General features: G+C 45.5%; 1 protein-coding gene across 6 annotated transcripts in view, besides 3 other annotated features; it reads right to left on the reverse strand.

Moving 5' to 3' along the window:
• EIPR1 (EARP complex and GARP complex interacting protein 1) overlaps positions 1-23,616 on the reverse strand; it is a 188,849-nt gene that overhangs the window by 34,155 nt on the left and 131,078 nt on the right. The gene's annotated exons all lie outside the window — the stretch shown is intronic.
• Positions 44-243: an enhancer, noted in NCBI's record as "active region_15224". NCBI's record gives its function as "activates an Ori minimal core promoter by ATAC-STARR-seq in GM12878 lymphoblastoid cells {active_cell/tissue: GM12878}" and the evidence as "EXISTENCE:reporter gene assay evidence [ECO:0000049][PMID:35858748]".
• Positions 6,701-6,901: a silencer, noted in NCBI's record as "peak3584 fragment used in MPRA reporter construct". NCBI's record gives its function as "represses an SCP1 promoter by STARR-seq MPRAs in K562 erythroleukemia cells {active_cell/tissue: K562}" and the evidence as "EXISTENCE:reporter gene assay evidence [ECO:0000049][PMID:32103011]".
• Positions 10,958-12,157: an enhancer, noted in NCBI's record as "BRD4-independent group 4 enhancer chr2:3237853-3239052 (GRCh37/hg19 assembly coordinates)". NCBI's record gives its function as "activates an origin of replication core promoter dependent on BRD2, P300/CBP, MED14 and CDK7 cofactors, and independent of BRD4, by STARR-seq in HCT116 cells {active_cell/tissue: HCT116}" and the evidence as "EXISTENCE:reporter gene assay evidence [ECO:0000049][PMID:35650434]".

The following is a 23,616-nucleotide window of genomic DNA, read 5'->3' on the forward strand; positions in this document are numbered from 1 at the left end:
AATAAAATGCGTAGTTTGCAGATGACAACGAAGAGAGATGTGGCCTACTTCCTATCACTTGGCCTGCACATTCTCAGGCCTTGGTCGAAACACCACTTCCTCCCACGGAGTTGACTGATCCACAAAGGTCGCTGGGACTTTCCCTGGTCCTTTCCCGTGGCAGCCTGCACTCCCCCCACACATGCAACACATTGATCACCACCGGCACCCGGGTTCCTGGCCAGACTCTCAACTGTATGAGCAACGAGCTCACACCTCCCACTCATGGGAATATGCAAGCAGCCAGCTCAGGCTGTGACAGGCACCTAAGAGGCCTTTAGTAAACTGTGTGCTGACGAAGGAGGAGGGAAGAATTCATCCCGCCCCCTCTGAGTATGTGAGGATGTTTTGCGCGTTCTTAAATGCATAAAAAATAAACTTAGAAAAAGTCTGTTTATCAAGTACAAGTCAGTGAAGACTGGTTCACCCTAGAACCCCATGGAAAGGGTTTGCTACTCAGTATCCAAAGCGCCCCACTAAAAAAGAGGCTTTGCTTGTGAATCAATTCACAAGGGGCTGCTGGGGCCAGGTCAAGGTGCAGCCCTGTAGGTGGCCCCCAGGGTGGACACCTGCCCTCTGCTCTCTCTATGCTCCTCCTCCCAAAACTGCTCACTCCCATTCTGAGGGCTGGAACGGCATGGCGGCATGCCTGTGGACAAAGCCAGAACCAATTCGTCCAGTGGACTCCCCAGCTCCGACCACATGTCCCATGTGACCCCTAAACTCCCCATGTATCAAGCAGAAAGTGCTCCTCTGTGGCACCCACCTCTTCCAACCAAGAGAACCATCCCGGGAACAAACGCTTCAGAGTAGTTACACCTCTCTATCATTCTCAAACTCTAAATGCAAAACAAAGCTCACTGAATTGTACTTTTTAATGTCTGTTGTGTTGCCTTTTCTTCAATCTAACCTAAGATCTGGCCATGACTTTATTTCATTCCAGGTTGTCTGGAGACACCGCCTGCCTGATTCCCGCCTTACCGGCTAAACTTGTCTCCCTGTAGTCTCTGCCTGGTCCCATCTCGGCCTGTATTTGCCGTTTTCCATCATTAAAACAAGAAAACATACAGTGTCTTACTTTAAGGACTCACCATCCAGACACAGTCTTAGGCTCAAGTGCTACTTCCAACAGGAAGTCAGCTTCAACCCTGCCGTAAGAGCAACCGGCACTTACGCAGCTCCTACCATGCGCCCGGCTTTACCTCTAATAGTCACATCCGCCTTACTTTACACCTTAGGTTGCTCAACTAGAAAGATTCAGAATTGGGTGATACACACCTGCCCATCCAACCAGCCCTGATTGCCAAACAGGTTTCACCTCAAAGGACCAGAGGTGCCTGACTGGACACTCTATCACAAGGCTCCAGGCTCTGCTGCAGGGCCCCATGATCAAGGCACACTGCCTGCCCCATACACAGGCAGGAAGAGGCAGCCCCGTGTGAAAGTTTTCTGCCACTCTAGCAGAGGCTGAGCTGCCCAGGGATAACTGCTCCAACAAGACCTCCCCACCACACGCAGTCCTTCAACATCCCAGCATGGACATCTCCCTAATTCAAATGCAAGCTCCCTCAGTAACAGCACTGCACCTACCGAGCTGAACATCGGGCTCACCTGAGTCCCTGCTGGCAATGCCACCGGCAATGCCACAACCTGCCGGAACCCCTGTTACATCTGAAGAGGAACTTGCCTACTCCAAGGGCTGCCTAAGAGTTCATGAGATATCTGAATCCCAGCACCGGAGCTCCTCCACTGGGGGCTGCAGCCTGTGACCGGCCATGAAGCCACATCAGGGTGCCGGGGCCAGCACGAGGCTGGAGTGAAGCACAGTGTGCCACAGGTTTTCAATGTGAGTACTCCCTTGTAAACAGTTTATTTCAGTTACGTGCATATCTATTTACATGTGTGGGGGAAGTCATTATGTAAAACTATCTATAGGTCCAATCAAAACAAATTTGGAAAATACTGCTTCAGATCATACTGTTGGCTTTTTCCCCCCCAGATTTATTGAAGTGTCCTTGACAAATAGAATTTGTGTATATTTAGGTAGTACACTGTGATATGTGTGTGTGTGTGTGTGTGTGTGTGTGTGTGTGTGTGTGTATGACAGGGTATTGCTTTGTCACCCAGGCTGGAGGGCAGTGGTGCAATCACAGCTCACTGCAGCCTTGACCTCCTGGGTCCAAGCAGTCCTCCCACCTCAGCCTCTCAAGTAGCTGGGACCACAGGCACATGCCACCCTACTTGGTTAATTTTTAAATTTTTTGTAAAGACAAGATCTCCCTACATTGCCTAGGCTAGTCTCGAACTCCTGGGCTCAAGCAATGCTTCTGTCTCAGCTTCCCAAAGTGCTTGAATTAGAGGCATGCGCCACCACGCCTGGCCGCAATGTGATGTTTTGATATGCACACACATTGTGAAATGACTGCCACAATTAACTAATAACATATCCATCAACTCATATAGTTAACTCCCTTTTTTTTGTCATGCACACACTTAAGATGCACTCTCTTAGCCAATTTCAAGTACACAATACACTATTATTAACTACAGTTCTCGTGCTGTACATGAGGTGTCCAGAATGTATTCATCTTATAAGCTGAACGTTCCTAACCTTTGACCAGCACCTCCCACTTTCCAACCCCTCCCACCAGCCTCTGGTAACCACCATTGTACTCTTCCTTTCTAGAAGTTTGACTTTTTCAGACTCCACAGGTGAGATCGCGCAGTATTTGTCTTTCTCTGTCTCATTTTACTTAGCATAATGTCCTCCAGGTTCGTCCATATTGTTTCAAACGGCAGGACGGCCTTCTTTGTAAAGACTGAACAATATTCCACTCTATATGTATCTACCACAATTTCTTTATCCCTTCATCTGTCAAATGGACAATTGCGTATTTTCTACATCTTGGCTACTGTGAATAAAGCTGCCTTTGACATGGAGGTGCAGGGATCTCTTTGAGCTAATGATTTCATTTCCTTTGGATATATACCCAGAATGGGACTGCTGGGTTGTAGCTCTATTTTTAATTTTTGAGGAACCTCCAAACTGTTTTCCATTATGTTCATTCCCACCTTGAATATATAAAAGTGTTTCCTTTTCTCCACATTCTCCCCAAGACTTATCTTTTGTCTTTTTCATACTGGCCATCCTAACAGGTGTGAGGTGATGTCTCATTGCGGTTTTGATTTCCATTTTTCTGATGGTTAGTGACGTTGAGCACGTTTTCATATGCCTATTGGATATCTGTATGTCTTCTTTAGAAAAATGTCTATTCAAGTGCTTTGCTCATTTCTAAACTGGGTTATTTTGTTTGCTTGCTATCGAGTTGTATGAGTTCCTTATGTATTTTGGATATTAATCCCTTATTGGATATATGGTTTCTTCCACTCTGTACGCTGCCTTTTCATTTTGCCGATGTTTCTTTTGCTGTGCAGAAACTTTTAAATCTGATGCACTCTCATTTGTTTATTTTTGCTTTTGCTGCCTGTGCTTTTGTGTCTTATCCAAAAGATCATTGCCAAGGCCAATACTGATAAGGTTTGGCTTGGTGTTCTCACCCAAATCTCATGTCAAATTGTAATTCCCAGTGTTGGAGGAGGGGCCTGGTGGGAGGTGATGGTATCATGGGGACAGGTTTCTCCCATGCTGTTCTCATGACAGTGAATAAGTCCCACAAGATCTGATGGTTTTATAAAGGGCAGTTCCCCTGCACATGCTCTCTTGCCTGCTGCCATGTAAGACATGCCTTTGTTCCTCCTTCACCTTCCCATGATTGTGAGGTCTCCCCAGCCCTGTGGAACTGTAAGTCCATTGAACCTCTTTTTCTTTATAAATTATCCAGTCTCAGTTATGCCTTTATTAGCAGCATGAAAACAGACAAATACGGTAAATTGGTACTGCAGAGAGTGAGGCACTGCTGTAAAGACACCCGAAAATGTGGAAGTGACATTAGAACTGGGTAACAGGCAGAGGTTGGAACAGTTTGGAGAGCTCAGAAGACAGGAAAATGTGGAAAAGTTTGGAACTCCTACCTGGAGACTTGGAGGGCTCACAAGACAAGAAGATGCAGGAAAGTTTGGACCTTCCTACAGACTTGTTGAATGTCTTTGACCAAAATGCTTACACTGATATGGACAATAAAGTCGAGGCTGAGGTGGTCCGATATGGAGAACTGGAGTAATGGTCACTTGCTATGCTTTAGCAAAGAAACTGGTGGCATTTTGCCCCCACCTGAGAGATCTGTGGAACTTTGAACTCGAGAGAGATGACTTAGGGAATCTGGCAGAAGAAATTTCTAAGTGGAAATGCATTCAAGAGGAAGCAGAGCATAAAAGTTTGGAAAATTTGCAGCCTGACTATGTAATAGAAAAGAAAAAACCATTTTCTGGGGAGAAATTCAAGCCTGCTGCAGAAATTTGCATAAGTAACAAGAAGTCGAATGTTAATCACCAACACAATGGGGAAAATTTCTCCAGGGCATGTCAGAGACCTTCATGGAAGCTGCTCCCATCACAGGCCCAGAGGCCTAAGAGAAAAAAAATGGTTTCACAGGCCAGGCCTACGGCCCCCCTGCTCTGTGCAGCCTTGGGACATGCTGCCCTGCATCCCAGCTGCTGCTGCTCCAGCTGTGGCTAAAAGGGGCCAAGGTATAGCTCAGGCCATTGCTTCAGAGGGTATAAGCCCCAAGCCTTGGTGCTTCCACATGGTACCGAGCCCGTGGGTGAAAAGAAGTCAAGAACTGAGGTATGGAAACCTCTGCCTAGATTTCAGAGGATGTATGACAATGTCTGGATGTCTAGGCAGAAGTCTGCTGAAGGGGCAGAGCCCTTATGAAGAACCTCTGCTAGGGAGTTGGAGCCCCCACACAGAGTGCCCCACTGGGGCACAGCCTAGTGAAGCTGTGAGAAGAGGGCCACCATCCTCCAGACCCAAGAATGGTAGATCCACCAACAGCTTGCACTGTGTGCCTGGAAAAGCTGCAGACACTCAATGCCGGCCCATGAAAGCAGCCAGTCGGGTGTACCCTGTGAAGCCACAGTGGCAGAGCTGCCCAAGGAATCTGGGAGCCCACCTCTTGCATCAGCATGACCTGCATGTGAGACATGGAGTCAAAGGAGATCATTTTGGAACTTTAAGGTTTAATGACTGCTCTGTTGGACTTTCAACTTGCCTGGGGCCTGTAGCCCCTTTGTTTTGGCCAATTTCTCCCATTTGGAATGGGTGTATTTGCTCAATGCCTGTACCACCATTATATCTAGGAAGTAATTAAGTTGCTTTTGATTTTACAGATGCATAGGCAGAAGGGACTTGCCTTGTCTCAGATGAAACTTTGGACTTGGACTTTTGGGTTAATGCTGGAATGAGTTAAGACTTTGGGGGACTGTTGCAAGGTCATGATTGTGTTTTGAAATGTGAGGACGTAAGATCTGGGAGGCGGAAGGCGCAGAATGATATGGTTTGGCTGTGTCCCCACCCAAATTTCATCCTGGATTATAATCCCCACAACCCCCACATGTGAAGGGCAGGACCAGGTGGAAATAATTGAATCATGGGGGCAATTTCTCCCATGCTGTTCTTGTGATAATGAGTGAGTCTCATGAGACCTGATGGTTTTATCAGCATCTGGCATTTCCCCTGCTTGCACTCACTCCATCCTGCCACTCTGTGAAGAAGGTGCCTGCTTCTTCTTTGCGTTCCACCATGATTGTAAGTTTCCTGAGGCCTCCCCAGCAATGTGGAACTGTGAGTTAAGCCCTTTTCCTTTATAAATTACCTAGTCTCAGGTATGTCTTTATTAGCAGCATGAGAACAGACTAATATACCCTAGTCAAATGCTGAATTAATAAAGTCACATTTAGGGGAAAGTACATGACACAGAAATTATTTTTGATGAGAATTTCAGCTGGAGAATGAACAGAGCAGTTGACAAGGAATAACAAAATCTTGCAGTTGTTGTCCAGTCCAGCTTCCTAGAAGTGAGCATGAGCCACTGGTATAAAATATTTGTAAAATCAACCAGAAAAGATTTTGCTGGTGATCCACACATTTTGTTAGAATAACGGAATGGTAAGAAAGTCACTCCTTGAAAACAATAAGAGCACAAGCTTTTGCCTATCACAACCAGGTTTACACTTCGTGTGCCTGCTGCTTTAGCACATCCTAACACAGTTGTTCTCTCCTTGACATCCTTAATTCCTGTATTATCAGCTGAAGTTGGTGTCTTTCCAGGGCAATAACACCAAAACAGTGATGTTTCATCAGCAATACAGACTCATTCTGGCATGAGATTTTCAACAGCTTTGAGCTTGGCAAGCATGCCAATAAATTTCTTCACTGCTTCGTGATTAGCAGATGTTTTATCACCACACATCTTTTAAAATTTAATGCTGTGTCTTTTCTTACATTTCTGCAACCAGGCTGTTGAATGTTCACAGTTCCTTTCAATTTTCAGTTCAACGTGATAGATCTTTGCTTGTTTCATAAGCAGTATTCCATTAAGTGGCAGGTGTTCACTGCAATGCTGATGAATCCACTCTTTCAATACACAATTAGGATCTTCATTTTTTGCTTTATGCGGTGCTTTTCTATTTTTCATTAACGTCTGTTCATTACTTTCAGCACAGATCTTCAACGGTTTATCCTTCTGTTTCTTCAGCTCATGTATGGTGGTCATTCCAACAGGGTACTCTTCTGTTTCACACTTACATCATTGTCCAGTTTCTCCAACAGCATGACTTTCTGTGCTATAGATAAATACAAATCCTTCCTTTTTTTCTTATCACTGTTACTCACAGGGGTATCTGCTGACCTTTTTGACATTTTCAACACTATCTTTACATCACATAAGAAGACAATTCTTCCCCATCCATGAACACTGAACATTTTTCCATTTGTTTGCATCTTCTTCAATTTCTGTTATCAATGGTTTATAGTTCTCAGTGTACAGGTGTTTCACTGGCTTGGTAAAAGTTATTCCTGAAAATTTTATTTTTTTTTATTTGTAAATGGAACTGTTTTCCTAATTTCTTTCTTGGATAGCTCATTGTCAGTATATAGCAATGCAACGAATAACCAAAAAACATGGTGAGTAACGCACACACGTCTTGGCCATGTGGAACACTGTAGGGAAACTGCCATTGGCACATCCAGCCTGCACACATGACATTTTCTTACTCTTTGTGGGTGTGTGTGGGGAAATCTGTGCGTGTGCAGAAAAGACACGCTGCAGCTGAAGGGGGTGGGAGGATTCTTTTCCCATCGGGGATGCTGAATAAACTGTGTGTTGTGGGCCTGCATTTTGACTATAATCCACCACATGAGGTTAGGTGTAAAATTTTCCACTTGTGGCATCATATTCATGCTCAAAATGTTTCAGATTTTGGAGCATATAGGATTTCAAATTTTCAGATCACAGAGACACAACTATACCATTTATTGAAGAGACTATCTTTTTCCCATTGTGTATTCTTGGTATCTTTCTCAAAGGTTAGTTGACCATATACGTGTGAGTTTATTTATGAGCTTTCTATTCTGTTCCATTGGTCTATATGTCAATTTGTAATTTCATATTATCCTGTTTCTATTACAGTAGTCTTATGATATAAGAAATTAGGAAGTGGAATGTCTTGGGCTTTGTTCTTCTTTCTCAAAGTCTACTTATTCAAGGTATTTTGGGGTTCCATATGAATTTCAGGACTTTTATTTCTGTTTCTATGGATAAATGCCATCAGAACTTTGATGGGGATTGCATTGAATCTGTAGATGATTTTGGGTGGTATGGACATTTTAACAATATTAATTCTTCCCATCCATGAACACTGAACATCTTTCCATTGGTTTGCATCTTCTTCAATTTCTTCCACCAATGTTTTATAGTTTTCTGTGTACAGATCTTTCACTGCCTTGGTAAAAGTTACTCCTAAGAAATTTATCCTTTTTGATGCTGTTGTAAATGGAACTGTTTTCTTAATTTCTTTCTTGGATATTTCATTGTCAGTATACAGAAATGCAACTGATTCTTGTATGCAGATTTTGTATCCTGCAACTTTACTGAATTTGTTTACTGATTCTAACAATGCTTTAGTGGAATCTTTAGGGTTTTCTATATTAGGATCATGTTGTCTACAAATACTTTTTCCTTTCTGATCTGGATGCTTTTGCCTTTTATTTCTTTTTCTTGCTTAATTCCTCTAGTTAGAACTTCCAGTTATTATGATGGATAAAAGTGGCAAGAGTGGGCATCCTTGTCTTGTTCCTGATATTATAAGAAAAGCTTACAACTTTTCAGATGTTAGTTGTTGGCTAACACACATGCCATATATGGCTTTTATTATGTTGAGGTAAATTACTTCTATATCTAATTTATTTAGAGTTTTTATCATGAAAAGATGTTGAATTTTGTCAAATGCATTTTCTGCCTCTACTGAGATGCTTGTATGGTTTTTGTCTATTTTGTTAATGTGGTGTATCACATTTACTGACGTGGGTATATTGAAGCATCCTTGCATCTGAGGGACAAATCCCCCTTAATAATGGTATATAATCCTTTTACTGTGCTGCTGTATTTGGTTTACTAATATTTTATCGAGGACTTGCACTTACTTTCATCAGATGTTCTAGCCTGTAATTTTCTCTTCTAGTAGTGTCTTTGTCAGGCTTTAACATCAGACTAATGCTGGTCTCATAAAATAAGTTTGGAAGTGTTCCCTCTTCTTAATTTTGTGGAAAGAATTTGAAAAGAACAAACATTAATTCTTCTTAAAATATTTCGCAGAATTCAGCAGTGAAGTCATCAGGTCCTGGGCTTTTCTTTGTTGGGAGATTTTTGATTACTGATTTAATCTCTACTCATTGTTGATTTATTCAGATTTTCTATTTCGTCTTTATTCAGTCTTGGTAGGTTGTATGTTTCCTCTATTTCTTCTAGGTTATCCAATTTGTTTACGCATAATTGTTCACAGTAGTCTCTTATGATCCTTTGTATTTCTGTGGAACCATTTATATTGTCTCTTATTTCTGATTTTGTTTGTGTTTTCTCACTTTCTTTAGCCTCACTAAAGGCTTGTCAACTTCTTTATCTTTTCGAAAAGCAGCTCTAAGTTTTGATATTTCAATTGCTTTTCTCATGTCTATTTCATATATTTCTGCTCTGGGTTTTGTTATTTCCTTCCTTCTGCTAACTTTGGGCCTAGTTTGTTCCTTCCTCTAGTCCCTGATGTATAAAGTTGAGTTGATTATTTGAGATCTTTCTTTTTTTCTTCATGTAGGCATTTATTGCTATTAAATTCCTTCTTAGACCTGCTTTTGCTGCATCCCATCATTTTGGTATGTTGTGGCTCCATTTTCATTTGCCTTAAGATATTTTTTGATCTCCTGTTTCAATGTTGGTCTCTTTTTAGTTATTTTAGGCTTTTTGGCTAGAATTTACGTTGAGGTGCATCATCCGTCTTTTGCCTGCTTCACTGAGCACAGGCCAGTTATGACCCATTTCAACACTGTTAGGACAGCATCACACTCACTCTCCTCTCAGGGGAGAGAGCCGGTTCCCCCATGTTGAATAGGCCTGAATAGGGTTTGCTTTTATGAAAATTTAGTCAGCAGCCCCGTGGATGGTTATCTACTCCGTCTCTGTTTCTGTGTGTGTCCCTGTCTGCACTGGCTTCTCTCCTCTCTCAACCACCCTGAAAAGCACATACACTTAGATGTAACGAGTTTTGCTAACAAAATAATAAATAGCCCTAAGTGGGCATTAAAGAAGTTCTCCTCTGAGTAAAACACAAGAAGCCTCTTGCCTTTGCGAAGTCTCACGTTAAGCTGTATTACTTTACACTGTAAACGCAAAGTCATATATGCCCATTAAAAAGTTTAAAACTTTAGAAAAGTAGAAGTCTCTCATACTCCCACCCACAGATGATAACTACTGTTAATAAGTGATTGATATGCAGCTTTCCAGGTCTTTTCTATGCATACAGTGGTATGTATAATACAATCATAATCATTACTTACAAACATGTGATCAGGCTATTAATGTTATTCTGCAACTTGCTTTTTTTTTTAACTTAAAATATATCCTGGGTAACTTTCCATATCAAATAGATATAATTCTTTCCAAAGGGCACACAGAATTCTATCGTGTGAATTTCCATAATTTTTTAATCCAATTCCCATGTATGCCACTTCAGTTGTTTCCAATTTTTCACACAATTGATTCATACAATGAAGCAGTAAGTATCCTGGAGAAAGACTTCTTGGCACACTTTAGGGTAAGTGCTTAGAGCTATAATTGCTGGGCCAAAACACAGACATGTTTCCCAAATTGTCTTCCTAGAATGTGCATTTCCCCCGGCATTCTCAGGGACACTGGATCCCAGCCGTAACTGTGATAATGACCGTGCTGATCCCTTCCCCAAGCCAACCTCACAGGGTATGTCTTCGCTGCTTTAATCTGCGTTTTCTAACAACTAGGAAGTTTGTCCACCCGTCAAGTGTGTACTGGCTGCTTCTCACACATCTGTGAATTGCTTCTTCATTCATTGCATCTATTTTGGAAGTCAAGCTAAGGAGCCTTCAAAGGAAAGTCTGTTGACTTGTTCTTCATCAAAGTTCCATCTGGGTAAAATGTCCAGTGAGCTGAGGCCTAAGTGGGTGAAGAATTACAGCAATAGAGAAGTTACTTACTTTTCCCTTAGAACTTTAAAAATCTCAAAGATAGGAGTCAAAGTTCTCAGCACCCTGAGCAGGTGTCAGGCTTTCTCTATAAGGGGCTCAATGACAAGTATTTTCAGTTTTGTGGGCCAGGTCAGGCTTCTGAGCTACTCAGCTCTGTCACTGTAACATAAAAGTGGCTACAGACAATATATGACCAAAGGGTAGCAGCCAGGATCCAACAGAACTTTATTTACACAAGCAGGCAGCAGGCTGGATTAGGCCCAGGGCCACAGAGTGAGGGCGTGGTGTGGATCCATATTACTGCTAGAATTAAAAATGAAACAAAACAAAAAACTTGCAGGAATGAGGGCACATGTGTTTGGCATGTCTTGTATTTTGCTGTTTTTTTTACCAATAAATTGTGGTTTGTGTCGCTCAATGTCACTGGCTGAAAATACCTAATACATCGCATGCTTAAATTCTGAAACTGAAAAGCCAACTTTTTGCTTTAAACATGTCTGACTGAACCACTCAGAATTCCTTCTTGTTTCTCTACCTTTTCCATCTTTAACAACAGGCAAGAGTCCCCAAGAGCAGGCAGGAGTTCTCCGTGTCGGCTGGGGACACCCACGTGGGAGGACATCGCATCGAGGCTCCGGCAGCCAGGGCCCTGTGTCACGACGCTCCACACTGGGGAGGCCCAACATGGTGAATGCACAATAAATAAGACCAGACCCAGGCTGCCAGAGCCCAGGGCCGTGGCGGTCAACACCCTGATAGAAGGGGAAAAAGAAAGTCTCATCCCTCACTCCTGTTGGGGTCCCCTGCAGCCCCTGCGTCACTACAGCACACACTGTAAAAGTGCGGGACGCTGTTGAATTACAAGCGGCAGCATTCACAAAACTGAGCCCCACTCCGCGGAAGCCTCTGCAGTCTCTCTCCAAGCCCTGCCCTTGCACTGGAAGATGCTCCTACTTTGCACAAGAGACCTGCTCTCTTGAGTGTCAAAATCCTGTGCTTTGAAGTAAGTGTTCATCTCTGAGGTCACAAGGCCATGGCCTCCAAAAGACACTCCAGAGAGTTTAGCTAACCAGCTGGTCCCGGGCCTGTGGCCACATCCCTAATCTGTCATCAGTTTTTCCTTGCTGGGATAGGAACTTGACTCCTCAAGAAAATAGCTTTCTCTTTCATAAAAGGTGAGAAAAGAATTTCAGCAAGGTAATTATCCTGCCTTTTAAGTCTGTGTGTGTTTTCCACCGGCAAGTTAGAACAGTTTCAGACTAACATGCAAACTTGCACATCAAAAACTCTGGAAGATGCAAATTGAAAAGGAAAAAGAAAATGACAACCTCTGATGGCTGCTTACCTGTTATTCACTCACTACCCTCTTCAAAGATGTATGAGCCAGATGAGTGCTACAAATGACTTAAAAAGGTGACGCCGACATGGAGCCACAGGAATAGGTCACATCCCCTCAGCTCCTCCCTCTTCTTGGCCTCAACCGGCCTTCATCTGAAGAATAAGAGCTATGACCATCTGCACAGCAGTGGGTGGCTTCTGTGTTACCAAAGGTTTCCTTTAGAAACACAAACATGTGTGCATGCGGGTGCGCACACACACACACACACGCGTGCGCGCACACACACACACACCCCCCAATAGCCAGAGCTCTCAGCGACTTCCCAAGGTGACTGGCAAGTGCTCAAGTGGGCCAGGTCCTTCAGGTCCACGCTACAGCACTGCCTAATTTTTCAAAGCACCCGACAAGCGTGGAAACCTTGTGGTGCCCCTGCAATTACAGCTCTTTGAAGAAGTCTCAAATGAACTTAATTCAACTCTAAGTTTTTGCCAAACTTATTTTAAGATTCCACACATTTATTATAGAATGCAGGATTTTAAAGGCTTATCACATAATACAAATGAACAAAATTACCAGAAAGGACATCAAAATCCTTTTCTTTGAGCAATAATTCCTTGTTATTAATCAGATTTCCTGGTATTTATTGACCCATGTCAGCACTTGGTCCAGAGGTAAAGAATGCCCCAAATTAGCACCCATCACCTGACCATTGCATCCTAAGCTCTGCATGAAAGCTGGAGCTTTACGACAGCTCTCCCTCCCAGTGAGACCCTCGGAGCAGGACTTAGGTGGAGAAAAGTGGGTTTTGCCAAATGGGCACTAGTAATCACGGTAAGAGCAACATCAACACCCGGGCACTCCTGTTGACATGCTAAGAGCGCCTCCACATGCATGAAGGTGCTGGCACCACACCACTCTCCCGCCACCTAGAAATGAACAGTCACAGCCCGCAGCACAGAACTGAACAACCCTGTGAGGCAGGGAGGCTGTCATGACATCGCCGTACGTGTACTGTATGTTAAAGTCTACAGAATACTGTTATATCCACCAAGAATATGTGGGAAAAAGCATGAACTGCGCAGGAAAACAATGATTAAAGATGGGAAACTGGGCTCAGAGAGTTCTGTTAAGGAACCTGGCCAACATGGCATCTCTGGCAAGTCAGGAACAAATCCCAGTCCTCATCCTTGTCCCTCGCTGCCTGGCCCAGGGACATGAGCAGAGGCTGGGACTGATGACAGCCATGAGAGCTCAGCCCAGGTGATGACTTCACTCAGGAGGAGGACATGGGGATCTGTGAGCAATGCCCAAGGACCTGGCTGAAAACCACACCTGAGAAAGGTGACTACAGGGCCAGGGCAGGACACAACTCGGGCCAGGGAACAGAAGGGACGCAATCGTGGGCAAGACCAGGCAGGCCAGGTACCATTTCAGGACAGGATCCCAGAGGGCCAGCTTCACTGTAGGTGGCACCCAAGGCGTCTGCTCGGTGCAGGCCCTGGGCTACCTGGACAGCATTCTCCTTCTCACACTGACTGTGAGCCTAGGAGGTGACTCCTACGCTCTTCCTTATTGTACAGATGAGGTAACAAACACAGAAAGATGAGTGACCAGCCCCAAATTAAAAAGCTATAAATGGCAGAGCTGAGAGTCAACCAAGGGCTGACTCAGTATCTTGAGGTCTGCACGTGGCCTGAAAGCTCACAATTTTCAGGAAGCTTGTTGGCTTCAATATCACCATTAGGCAAAAGGACTAAGGCAACACTATCTGGTACCTTCAAAGCTGCTGACTATACTGATTTGTACCATGTTAACACACGAGAAAAACAAAGCCGGGTGGCTGTGATTTCCTACGGTGGCTGCAGCAGCCGCCACAGCTCCTCACAAGGCACACAAAGACGCACCCAGGGAGGGATTAGACTGAGTGATCCCCACACAGGTCCACCTGGGAGATGGGGAGGGCGAGGAGAACTGTCCAGAAAAAACCACAAATCATTAACCTGAGGAAAGAAGATCTGACTTTTCAGGATTAAGCTGTATTTTGAAAACTACACACACACACACACACACACACACACACACACACACACACACACACACCATACATATGGCAGTCCTGCCTTATCCAGTTTCGCTTTCCACAGTTGCAGTTACCTGAGGTCAGCCACAGTCTAAAAATAGGTGAGTACAACAAGATATTGGGAGACAAGGAGAGAGAGAGACCACATTCACAGAACCTTTAGTCCAGTCTATTGTTACAGGTGTTCTATTTTATTAGCCATTACTGCATTGAGCTCTTACTGCATCTAATTTGCAAGTTATACTTTATCGTATGTATTGCACACAGGAAAAAGCACTGTACGTCTGGGGTTCCACACTATCAGCCGTTTCAGGGGTCCGCTAGGGTCTTGGAACAGGGACTGCTGTATGACTAAGAGCACAGATCACATGGAACGCGCTAAGAGGAGAGCACAGAACGGCATGGCAATTACATGGAACGCGCTGAGAGGCAAGCGTGGAATGCTGCGGCACATGAGTCTGCAGCAGCCTGGAAGGATTGAGCCCTTGGTGCCTGCATCTCTCTGAGCCTTGGTTTCCGCTTCCGTCCAGCGGGGAGAATAGCAGTAAACTGACATTACAGGTTTGGGATGGTCAACAGTCAACACTGAGAACAGGCCCGCACACGGCTGCTGTTCAATAAGCCCTCGCTGTTATCAGACGCGAAGAGATCTGTGCTCCTCAGGCTGAACGTGGTGCTGCCCTCCACGGGGATTTGAGAAATCCAAGGGGTGAAGGACATTTCTGGTTTCACAAACCTTCCAAATGTGCAAACAGCTTCAACGACAAAGGCTTATCTCACCCAAATGCCAACAGCCTCCCTCACGAAAACCGTAAAAGCTTCTTGAAAATTTGGCTGGACACTGAAATGATCACCTTTGCATGCACCAAAAAAATTCCATGGAGGTATATTTTAAGAAGAAAAAAACCTCCAAGAGATGTCTAAAACTCAATGTTTCATCTGTTCCGAAAGGCATCCAAACTCAATCATGTGTGGCCATCCTACCCACATCTTACCCAGCAGCTCAGGACCGGAGTCACCAACACGGCTTTCCGGAGCGCCCGTGACCCCTGGTGCTCTTCCACCTACATCGGCCAGCTGGGCCTCTCTTGTCTCCCTCCACGGGCTGGTGACACTCCAGAGCCGCGGGAGGTCCTGTCGCCTGCACAGGTGATTCCCATCCCAGAGCCCTGGGCTGTGGGTCCCTGTGGGGATGCTGATTGTTCTCTTCTGCTTTTAAGGCTAATGCACAAAGTGGGGGACCTTCCTCACATTCCTTCTCTCTCAGATGCCATACACCATGCACACCCCACTGCCACTGTGGCCCAGAGTGCAGCCTTCCTTCTGGTCTCCCCACTGTCAGGAGAATTTAGAGACTTTTGTTTTCACAGAGGAAGCGTCCAATGTGGAAAATTAACTCTGAATAACTTCAGGGTATGAATCAAGGGATGCCTTTGAACCTTCGCCGTTCATTTCTGAAAGGGTTCATCTTGCAGTCTCTGAATTACATGAGTGTGAAGAGAAAGGAGCTTGCTTTCCATGCTGCAAGAGGCCAACTGGCCACATCATCTGCATGCCCTGAGATTCCCAGACAAGACGGGCAAGGACAGCGGGCCCTCCGGCTCCTTACATTCACCGTGCCACTCACCGTCCACTACCTAGCCTTGGAAAAGATTGTGTTAAGAAGGGAGCCAGCCAGCCCGGGATGGAGAAACTCCCAGAGGCTTCCTTCCAGGACTATCTAAGCTCGGCATGAAGTCTCTGGGAGAGCCTGGAAGGGGAGAGCATGTTGAAGGAAAAAGAAAACACACAAAAACCCACAGTCAACAGATGAGGTGCCACGGCCAAGGATGGGACGCAACCTGGCTCTGCCCGGCCGCCTGCACAGCAGACCCCACCCGGCCACTGGGAGAGTCTGAGAGTGGATCGACAGGGACAAGGAGGCGCCAAGGGTCTGGGACCTCTGGGGACAGGCCCCATCAGGCTGTGTCCTCCCCTTCTCAATATTACAGGTGGGTATGGGCCAGTTCACAAATTAAAATATGTAGGAAAAGAAAAGCAAACAAAACCCCACAGGTACACACAGAAGGGAGAGCAGATAAAAGCCGCCTTCACACAGGAAATACGGCTGGGGAATCTTCCAGCACAGACAACCCAGGCTCACTTTCTTAGTAAAATGACCATCTCTGTGGTTGATGCACAGACGCTTAGACACAGGAAGGAGGCTCAGTGTGCCGGCAGTTTTGTCTTCAGATTTGGCCATGAGGTGGATCCGTCTTCTGATTTGGCCATCGTGCGTCTGCTCTGCATGGACATCCCGGGTGCCTGTTTGCTTTCCACGTGTGGCCCTGCCCTCAGCACAGCGCAAACCCTCAGGGCATCCCTTCCTGGCTGCTCATTAACCCCCTTTCCACATGTGGCCCTGCCCTCAGCACGGTGCAGACCCTCAGGGCGTCCCTTCCTGGCTGCTCATTAACCCCCTTTCCACATGTGGCCCTGCCCTCAGCACGGTGCAGACACTCAGGGCATCCCCCTTCCTGGCTGCTCATTAACCCCAACCTAGGCTTCTCCTAACTCTTATTTTCTTTCCATCTCCTTCCTTACATATATGGGTCTCTGGTCCTATGACATGTATTCACATATGAAGCTTCAAACACATAAACAGGTCTCTTTGTTCTTCTCCAGGGTGATGTGAAACTAGAACACTGGGCAAAGCCAGCAGACCCTTCCTAAAGCAAAGCCAGCAGATCCTTCCCAAGGAAAGCCAGCAGACTCTTCCTAAAGAAAGAAAAGCCAGCAGATCCTTCCTAAGGAAAAGCCAGTAGACCCTTCCTAAAGCAAAGCCAGCAGATCCCTCCTAAAGCAAAGCCAGCAGACCCTTCCTAAAGCAAAGCCAGCAGATCCTTCCTAAAGCAAAGCCAGCAGATCCTTCCTAAAGCAAAGCAGCAGATCCTTCCTCAAGAAAAGCCAGCAGACTCTTCCTAAAGAAAGCAAAGCCAGCAGACCCTTCCTAAAGCAAAGCCAGCAGACTCTTCCTCAGGAACAGCCAGCAGATCCTTCCTCAAGAACAGCGAGCAGGTCCCTCCTAAAGCAAAGCCAGCAGATCCTTCCTAAAGCAAAGCCAGCAGACCCTTCCTAAAGCAAAGCCAGCAGATCCTTCCTAAAGCAAAGCCAGCAGATCCTTCCTAAAGCAAAGCCAGCAGATCCTTCCTAAAGCAAAGCAGGAGATCCTTCCTCAAGAAAAGCCAGCAGATCCCTCCTAAAGCAAAGCCAGCAGATCCCTCCTAAAGCAAAGCCAGCAGATCCCTCCTAAAGCAAAGCCAGTAGATCCCTCCTAAAGCAAAGCCAGCAGACCCTTCCTAAAGAAAAGCCAGCAGATCCCTCCTAAAGAAAAGCCAGCAGATCCCTCCTAAAGAAAAGCCAGCAGATCCTTCCTCAAGAACAGTGAGCAGGTCCCTCCTAAAGCAAAGCCAGCAGATCCCTCCTAAAGCAAAGCCAGCAGATCCCTCCTAAAGCAAAGCCAGTAGATCCCTCCTAAAGCAAAGCCAGCAGATCCCTCCTAAAGCAAAGCCAGCAGACCCTTCCTAAAGCAAAGCCAGCAGATCCTTCCTAAAGCAAAGCCAGCAGATCCCTCCTAAAGCAAAGCCAGAAGATCCTTCCTAAAGCAAAGCCAGCAGATCCTTCCTAAAGCAAAGCCAGCAGATCCTTCCTAAAGCAAAGCCAGCAGATCCCTCCTAAAGCAAAGCCAGCAGATCCCTCCTAAAGCAAAGCCAGCAGATCCCTCCTAAAGCAAAGCCAGCAGATCCTTCCTAAAGCAAAGCCAGCAGATCCTTCCTAAAGAAAAGCCAGCAGACTCTTCCTAAAGCAAAGCCAGCAGATCCTTCCTAAAGAAAAGCAGCAGACTCTTCCTCAGGAATAGCCAGCAGATCCTTCCTCAAGAACAGCGAGCAGGTCCCTCCTAAAGCAAAGCCAGCTGGTACCTCCTAAAACAAAGCATTTTGAAGGCACCTCCGCAGAGCTGAGATGCAGATGCCACGAGGTAATCCATGGGGGCCCAACTGCCAGCCAGAATTATGGTAGGGAGAGCTCCTTTATCGTATCTTTCACTATTTATCCATGGGTGATACATCTGGAAATAACTGCTGTTATTTTATACGTAGCAATCCCTATAATCATTACTGTTTGCCGTATACCTTGGAATAACTGGAGTATGCAAAGTGCAATAAAAAGAGAATTTCTATTTTATCATGGACCATCACCATGAAACTAGTGCCATAAACATGAGAAAATAACCTAGAATTTCTGCAATACTCGCTACTCCAAACTAAGACGTTTATTTCTTTGTTCGTAAAAATCACCCACTTTTCTGCTTTATCAGTCTCTCCCACTGAATTGGAGAGGACATAAAACGATATGAACAAGTCAGGAACTAGGTGGCGCACACCTGATGTGAGTATGCAGCATCCCTTCATTGCCACTGAGAGGAAGGTGCTGGAAATGGGCTGTGTCAATAAGCCCAGATAAACTGAAACAAGCAAATAACAAGCTGAACTTCTTTGAGGCATTCACAAGGGTCATCATCGTGGGATATGGTCCTAATTCGGCAGGTTTCATGCTGATCAAACAAAATGCATACTTTTCTTCTTCAAATAAGTGATTCTAAAATGAGTGATTCACCATTCTGGACTCTGGCACGTGGGGTGGGGATAACTCTAGGGACACCAAGAAATTCTCAGAACAACCTCAACACAAAATCGACTACATTCGATGGTGTGCAGATGCCTCCTAGCCCCGCCGTCATGTAGGATGGGAAGGGGAGGTACCAGGACAAATGGCAAGAGGCACAGCTCCTAACAGAACAGGAGCTCCCGACTCGACACCACGGACCAGGCAGCACCCACTGATGGCTGGAAGACAGAGATTTCAGGCCCCCGACTCCACACCACAGGCCCGGCAGCAGCCACTGACGGCTGGAAGACAGAGATTTCAGGCCCCCGACTCCACACCATGGGCCCGGCAGCAGCCACTGACGGCTGGAAGACAGAGATTTCAGGCCCCTAACTCCACACCACACACCTGGCAGCAGCCACCGATGGCTGGAAGACAGAGATTTCAGGCCCCCGACTCCACACCCACTGACGGCTGGAAGACAGAGATTTCAGGCCCCCGACTCCACACCACACACCAGGCAGCAGCCATCGATGGCTGGAAGACAGAGATTTCAGGCCCCCGACTCCACACCCACCGATGGCTGGAAGACAGAGATTTCAGGCCTCCGACTCCACACCCACTGACGGCTGGAAGACAGAGATTTCAGGCCCCTGACTCCACACCACACACCAGGCAGCAGCCATCGACGGCTGGAAGACAGAGATTTCAGATGGCGTGGAAGCTTGTGCTCAGACTAAGATTCCAAATGCTTCCTAAAACTCAAGTTTATTACTGTACTGAAGAAGGAGAAGCCTTAAGAAAGATATGTATCTATCCAATGATGGTGATTATGTCATTGCTTACCAGTTGAACTTTGAGAAACCCTTTTAAAAGAGAATATAATGAATTATTTCCCCAGCTTACAAATCGTTTACAACACACAGACTTGGCAATGTGGTTAATTTCTTCCTGCTTGCAAAGCCACAGTAAAGCACGTGACAGCTTTCCACACGTGCAAGAAGTATAAAAAAGGAAACTCCGAGAATCACACCGTTCAGTCCCCAGGCTCCCTTTGATCAAATCTGCAGATGTACAAGTTCTTTATGTTGGGACCTATGGAATACTTCCAGGAACAGAATCATGTTTCTATGCTTCCTGGGAACGCTTTCTGACAGGCAAGCATGGAAGTTTGACACTGGGTAACTCAGTTATTAAAAGTCTGTGTTTACTCAGACATCTCTCACTGGGACAAACATATAGCTCCATCAACCAAATAACCCCGTTTAAAGTCTGACAGAAAGCAAAAGGAAGATACGGGCTGCACATGAGGGGAATGGCTTTTTTCTCCAATTTTTTTCTTTTTTGTGGAGACTGACATCAATAATTAACAGCCTAAGTATATGCTTCATAGAACTTGGGCATAGCTCAACAGAAACAAGCACTCTAACACTAAGAATTCACAAGCAAGGCCAGGCACGGTGGCTCACACCTGTAATCCCAGCACTTTGGGAGGTCAAGGCAGGTGGATCACCTGAGGTCAGGAGTTCGAAACTAGCCCAGCCAACGTGGTAAAACCCCATCTCTACTAAAAAATACAAAAATTAGCTGAGTGTGATGGCCCACGCCTGTAGTCCCAGCTACTCAGGAGGCTAAGGCAGGAGAACTGCTTGAACCCGGGAGGCAGAGGTTGCAGTGAGCCGAGATCGCGCCACTGCACTCCAGCCTGGGTGACAAGAGTAAGACTCCATCTCAAAAAAAACCCAAAATGAAATTAAATTAAAAATTTTTTTTAAAAATTTAAAAAGAATTCACAAGCAAAACCAGGACCATTTATCAGTGTGTAGGCAGAAAAACAACGGCCCTAATCACCCAGCCCTCCATTCCTCAAAACCCTATCCTCTGGTGGGAAATGGGCCACAACCCGGGCAAGCCTGTCCTTGGGGCAGATATGGGCTGTGACGTACAGGGCATGGCTCTGCTGTGACGTCCAGGACATGGCTCCATGCTGGAGGCCTCACAGTCCTGACTCTCCATCCCACAGAGGGTTGGAGGAGCACAGGCAGGGCTCAGAATGCCCTTTTGACGGACAGAACTCACACCAGCCCCAGGGCTCACCTGTGTCCTCTCTCGGGTTCACATGGTGTCTCCTCTCTAAGGCTGTGACAACCCAGGCCCACAGGGGCTCCCTCACTGCAGAGCTCCTCCCAGGATGCAGGTGGGAGAGCACGGCTGCATCAGCAAAGGACTTCCAGGGAAACGTTAACATATCAAACAGTCTTCTCCCTGGGTCTTCTCAGCAAGTCCAAAGATAGCCTCTGAATCATAACACATTTCTAGGTAAAATGTGCTGTCTAAAACCTGAACAGCAGTTTGGTCTCCTTTTTCTTCTACTTCTTCTCTTTCTCCTCCCCTGACCCCTGTTTATTAAACATAGAAGAAAAGTCAACTCTAGTTAAAATTCCTTACATGCAGGGTTAGTATACCTTCAGGCATAACATTTTAAAATTATTTAAACTTCAAGTTTAAATATCACAAATAGAATTTTGAAAAACTTATTCTGCTATGTTCTTGTTGGAAGCCCCCCACCCCGTCAAGAATTCACATGTGGAAATTCTAATCCCCAAAGTGAAAGTATTAGGAGTCAGAGCCTCCGGAAGGTAATCAGATCATGAGGGCAAAGCCTTGGCAAACAAAATCAGTGCCCTTTATCAAAGAGGCCTGAGGGAGCTCCTTCTTCCCTTCCACCACTAGAGGACACAGCAAAAAGGAGCCATCTGTGAACCACGAAGAGGGGCCTCACCAGACACCAACTTAGCCAGCGCCTTGATCGTGGACTTCCCAACCTCCAGAACTTATAACAATGAATTTCTGCTGTCTGGAAGCTACCTGGTTTATGGGATTGTGCTAAAGCAGCCCAAATGGACTAAGGCGTTTTCTGAGCCATTCGCCTGGACACACCGATCTGCCTCTCTTTACCTAAAACACCCATTTGCTTCATAAAAGGATCAACAAAAACATACTTTTGAACCACATTATTTAATGGAAATTGAACTAAAATCCTAGGGGAGATAGGAATTTCTCTTGCAATATAAGTAATTATCTATATTTTCTGCACTGTATATTTAGATTTTTGTATTATGACTCTTCCTAGAATAAGTTGCGCCTGTACTTTGCATTTTACTAAAGTATTTTCTCATCATCTCCTTTCTAATAATTAATTTTAATAACATTTATATGGGGCAAGGGAGACTCTGATAACCATTCCTTATTTTATTTTATTTTATTTATTTTACTTTATTTTACTTTACCGTTGCGTTGCGTTGCGTTGCATTGCATTGTATTGTATTTTTGAGATGGGGTCTTGCTCTGTCACCCAGGCTGGAGTGCAGTGGAGCGATCTGGGATCACTGCAACCTCCACCTCCTGAGTTCAAGTGATTCTCCTGCCTCAGCCTCCTGAGTACATGGGATTACAGGCAGCCATCACCGTGCCCAGCTAATTTTTGTATTTTTAGTAGGGACAGGATTTTGCCATGCTGGCCAGGGTGGTTTCAAACTCCTAACCTCAGGTGATCCACCCGCCTTGGCCTCCCAAAATGTTGAGATTATAGGCATAAGCCACCATGCCCAGCCTCATTCCCCATTTTAAATGGAGACTTTAAACAAACTTGAAAGAAGACATTTTTCTATTCTCCTGTAATAACACAAGTTGTTCTTTTCCTGCACAAACTAAGGGATGTTAGGCATCATTCTGAGCTCCTTTGGAAAGCTAATAGACAACTCTGCTCAGGAGCCAGTAACCAGGAAAGCATGCCAGTGTGAGGCACTTCACACCTAAGCGCATCTAGGCTGGCTAAAGCCAACCAGCACTGATGTAAATCTTTCTTACAAGAATCTGGGCCAGGTGCGGTGGCTCACACCTGTAATCTCAGTGTTTGGGAGGCCGAAGTGGGAGGACTGCTTGCGCCCAGCAGTTTGAGACTAGCCTGAGCAATGTAGGGAGACCTCATCTCTGCCTAAAATTTAGAAATTAAGACCTCATCTCTACATAAAATTTAAAAATTAGCCAGGCATGGTGGTACATGCCTATGGTCCCAGCTTTGCAGGAGGTTGAGATGGGAGGATCACGTGAGCCTGGAAGGCCGAGGCTGTGGTTGAGCCGTGATCACACCACTGCACTCCAGCCTGAGTGACAAAGCCAGACCCCGTCTCAAAAAAAGAACCTAATAAATCTTCAGTGGCAATACTGCCATAATCACAGACAATTCCCTACTCTCCTTAATAGCAGAATCATATCATAGGGTCTCTGAGACTTTCGAGCACATTTTCTTACTACTTATCCTCAAACACAACATTTACAAAATGGGAAGGATAGCTATCAGTTCACTCCTCTTTGTAACATTTAACCTGAGCCAATTTCCACTGTTCTGTCATACTAAACTAAAATGAGGAAAAATGAAGAGAGCTGAAGCCAAATCCTGCTTTTTGAACAAAATGCCCCCTGTGCCTGGCGGAGCCACACACACTGCTTTCCTTCCCCCTGCCTCAATACCGCCTTCTGTGCCCTTTTCTTTTCTTCTGATAATAATCTTAACACGTACACCCTGCTTTCCCAGGTAATGCTAAATGCTCTCAGCCTGTCTGGCATTTCACTGTGATATTTACCTCCATCTACACTGAGGGGATTGTCTTCCCCCAGAAACTGGCTCAGATGGCACACAGAGATCAGCTAGCCACCATGCAGGTGACGGGCACTTGGACATGTCAGAGAAACACACAGCGTGTGGAGTGCAGCCTTGCTCAGCTCCAGCCCACAGGACTCCTCCCTGTAGCCTCCTCCCTGCCGGGGTGGTAGCCATGG

Source organism: Homo sapiens, chromosome 2, assembly GCF_000001405.40.
Source record: "Homo sapiens chromosome 2, GRCh38.p14 Primary Assembly".
Lineage (NCBI taxonomy): Eukaryota > Metazoa > Chordata > Mammalia > Primates > Hominidae > Homo > Homo sapiens.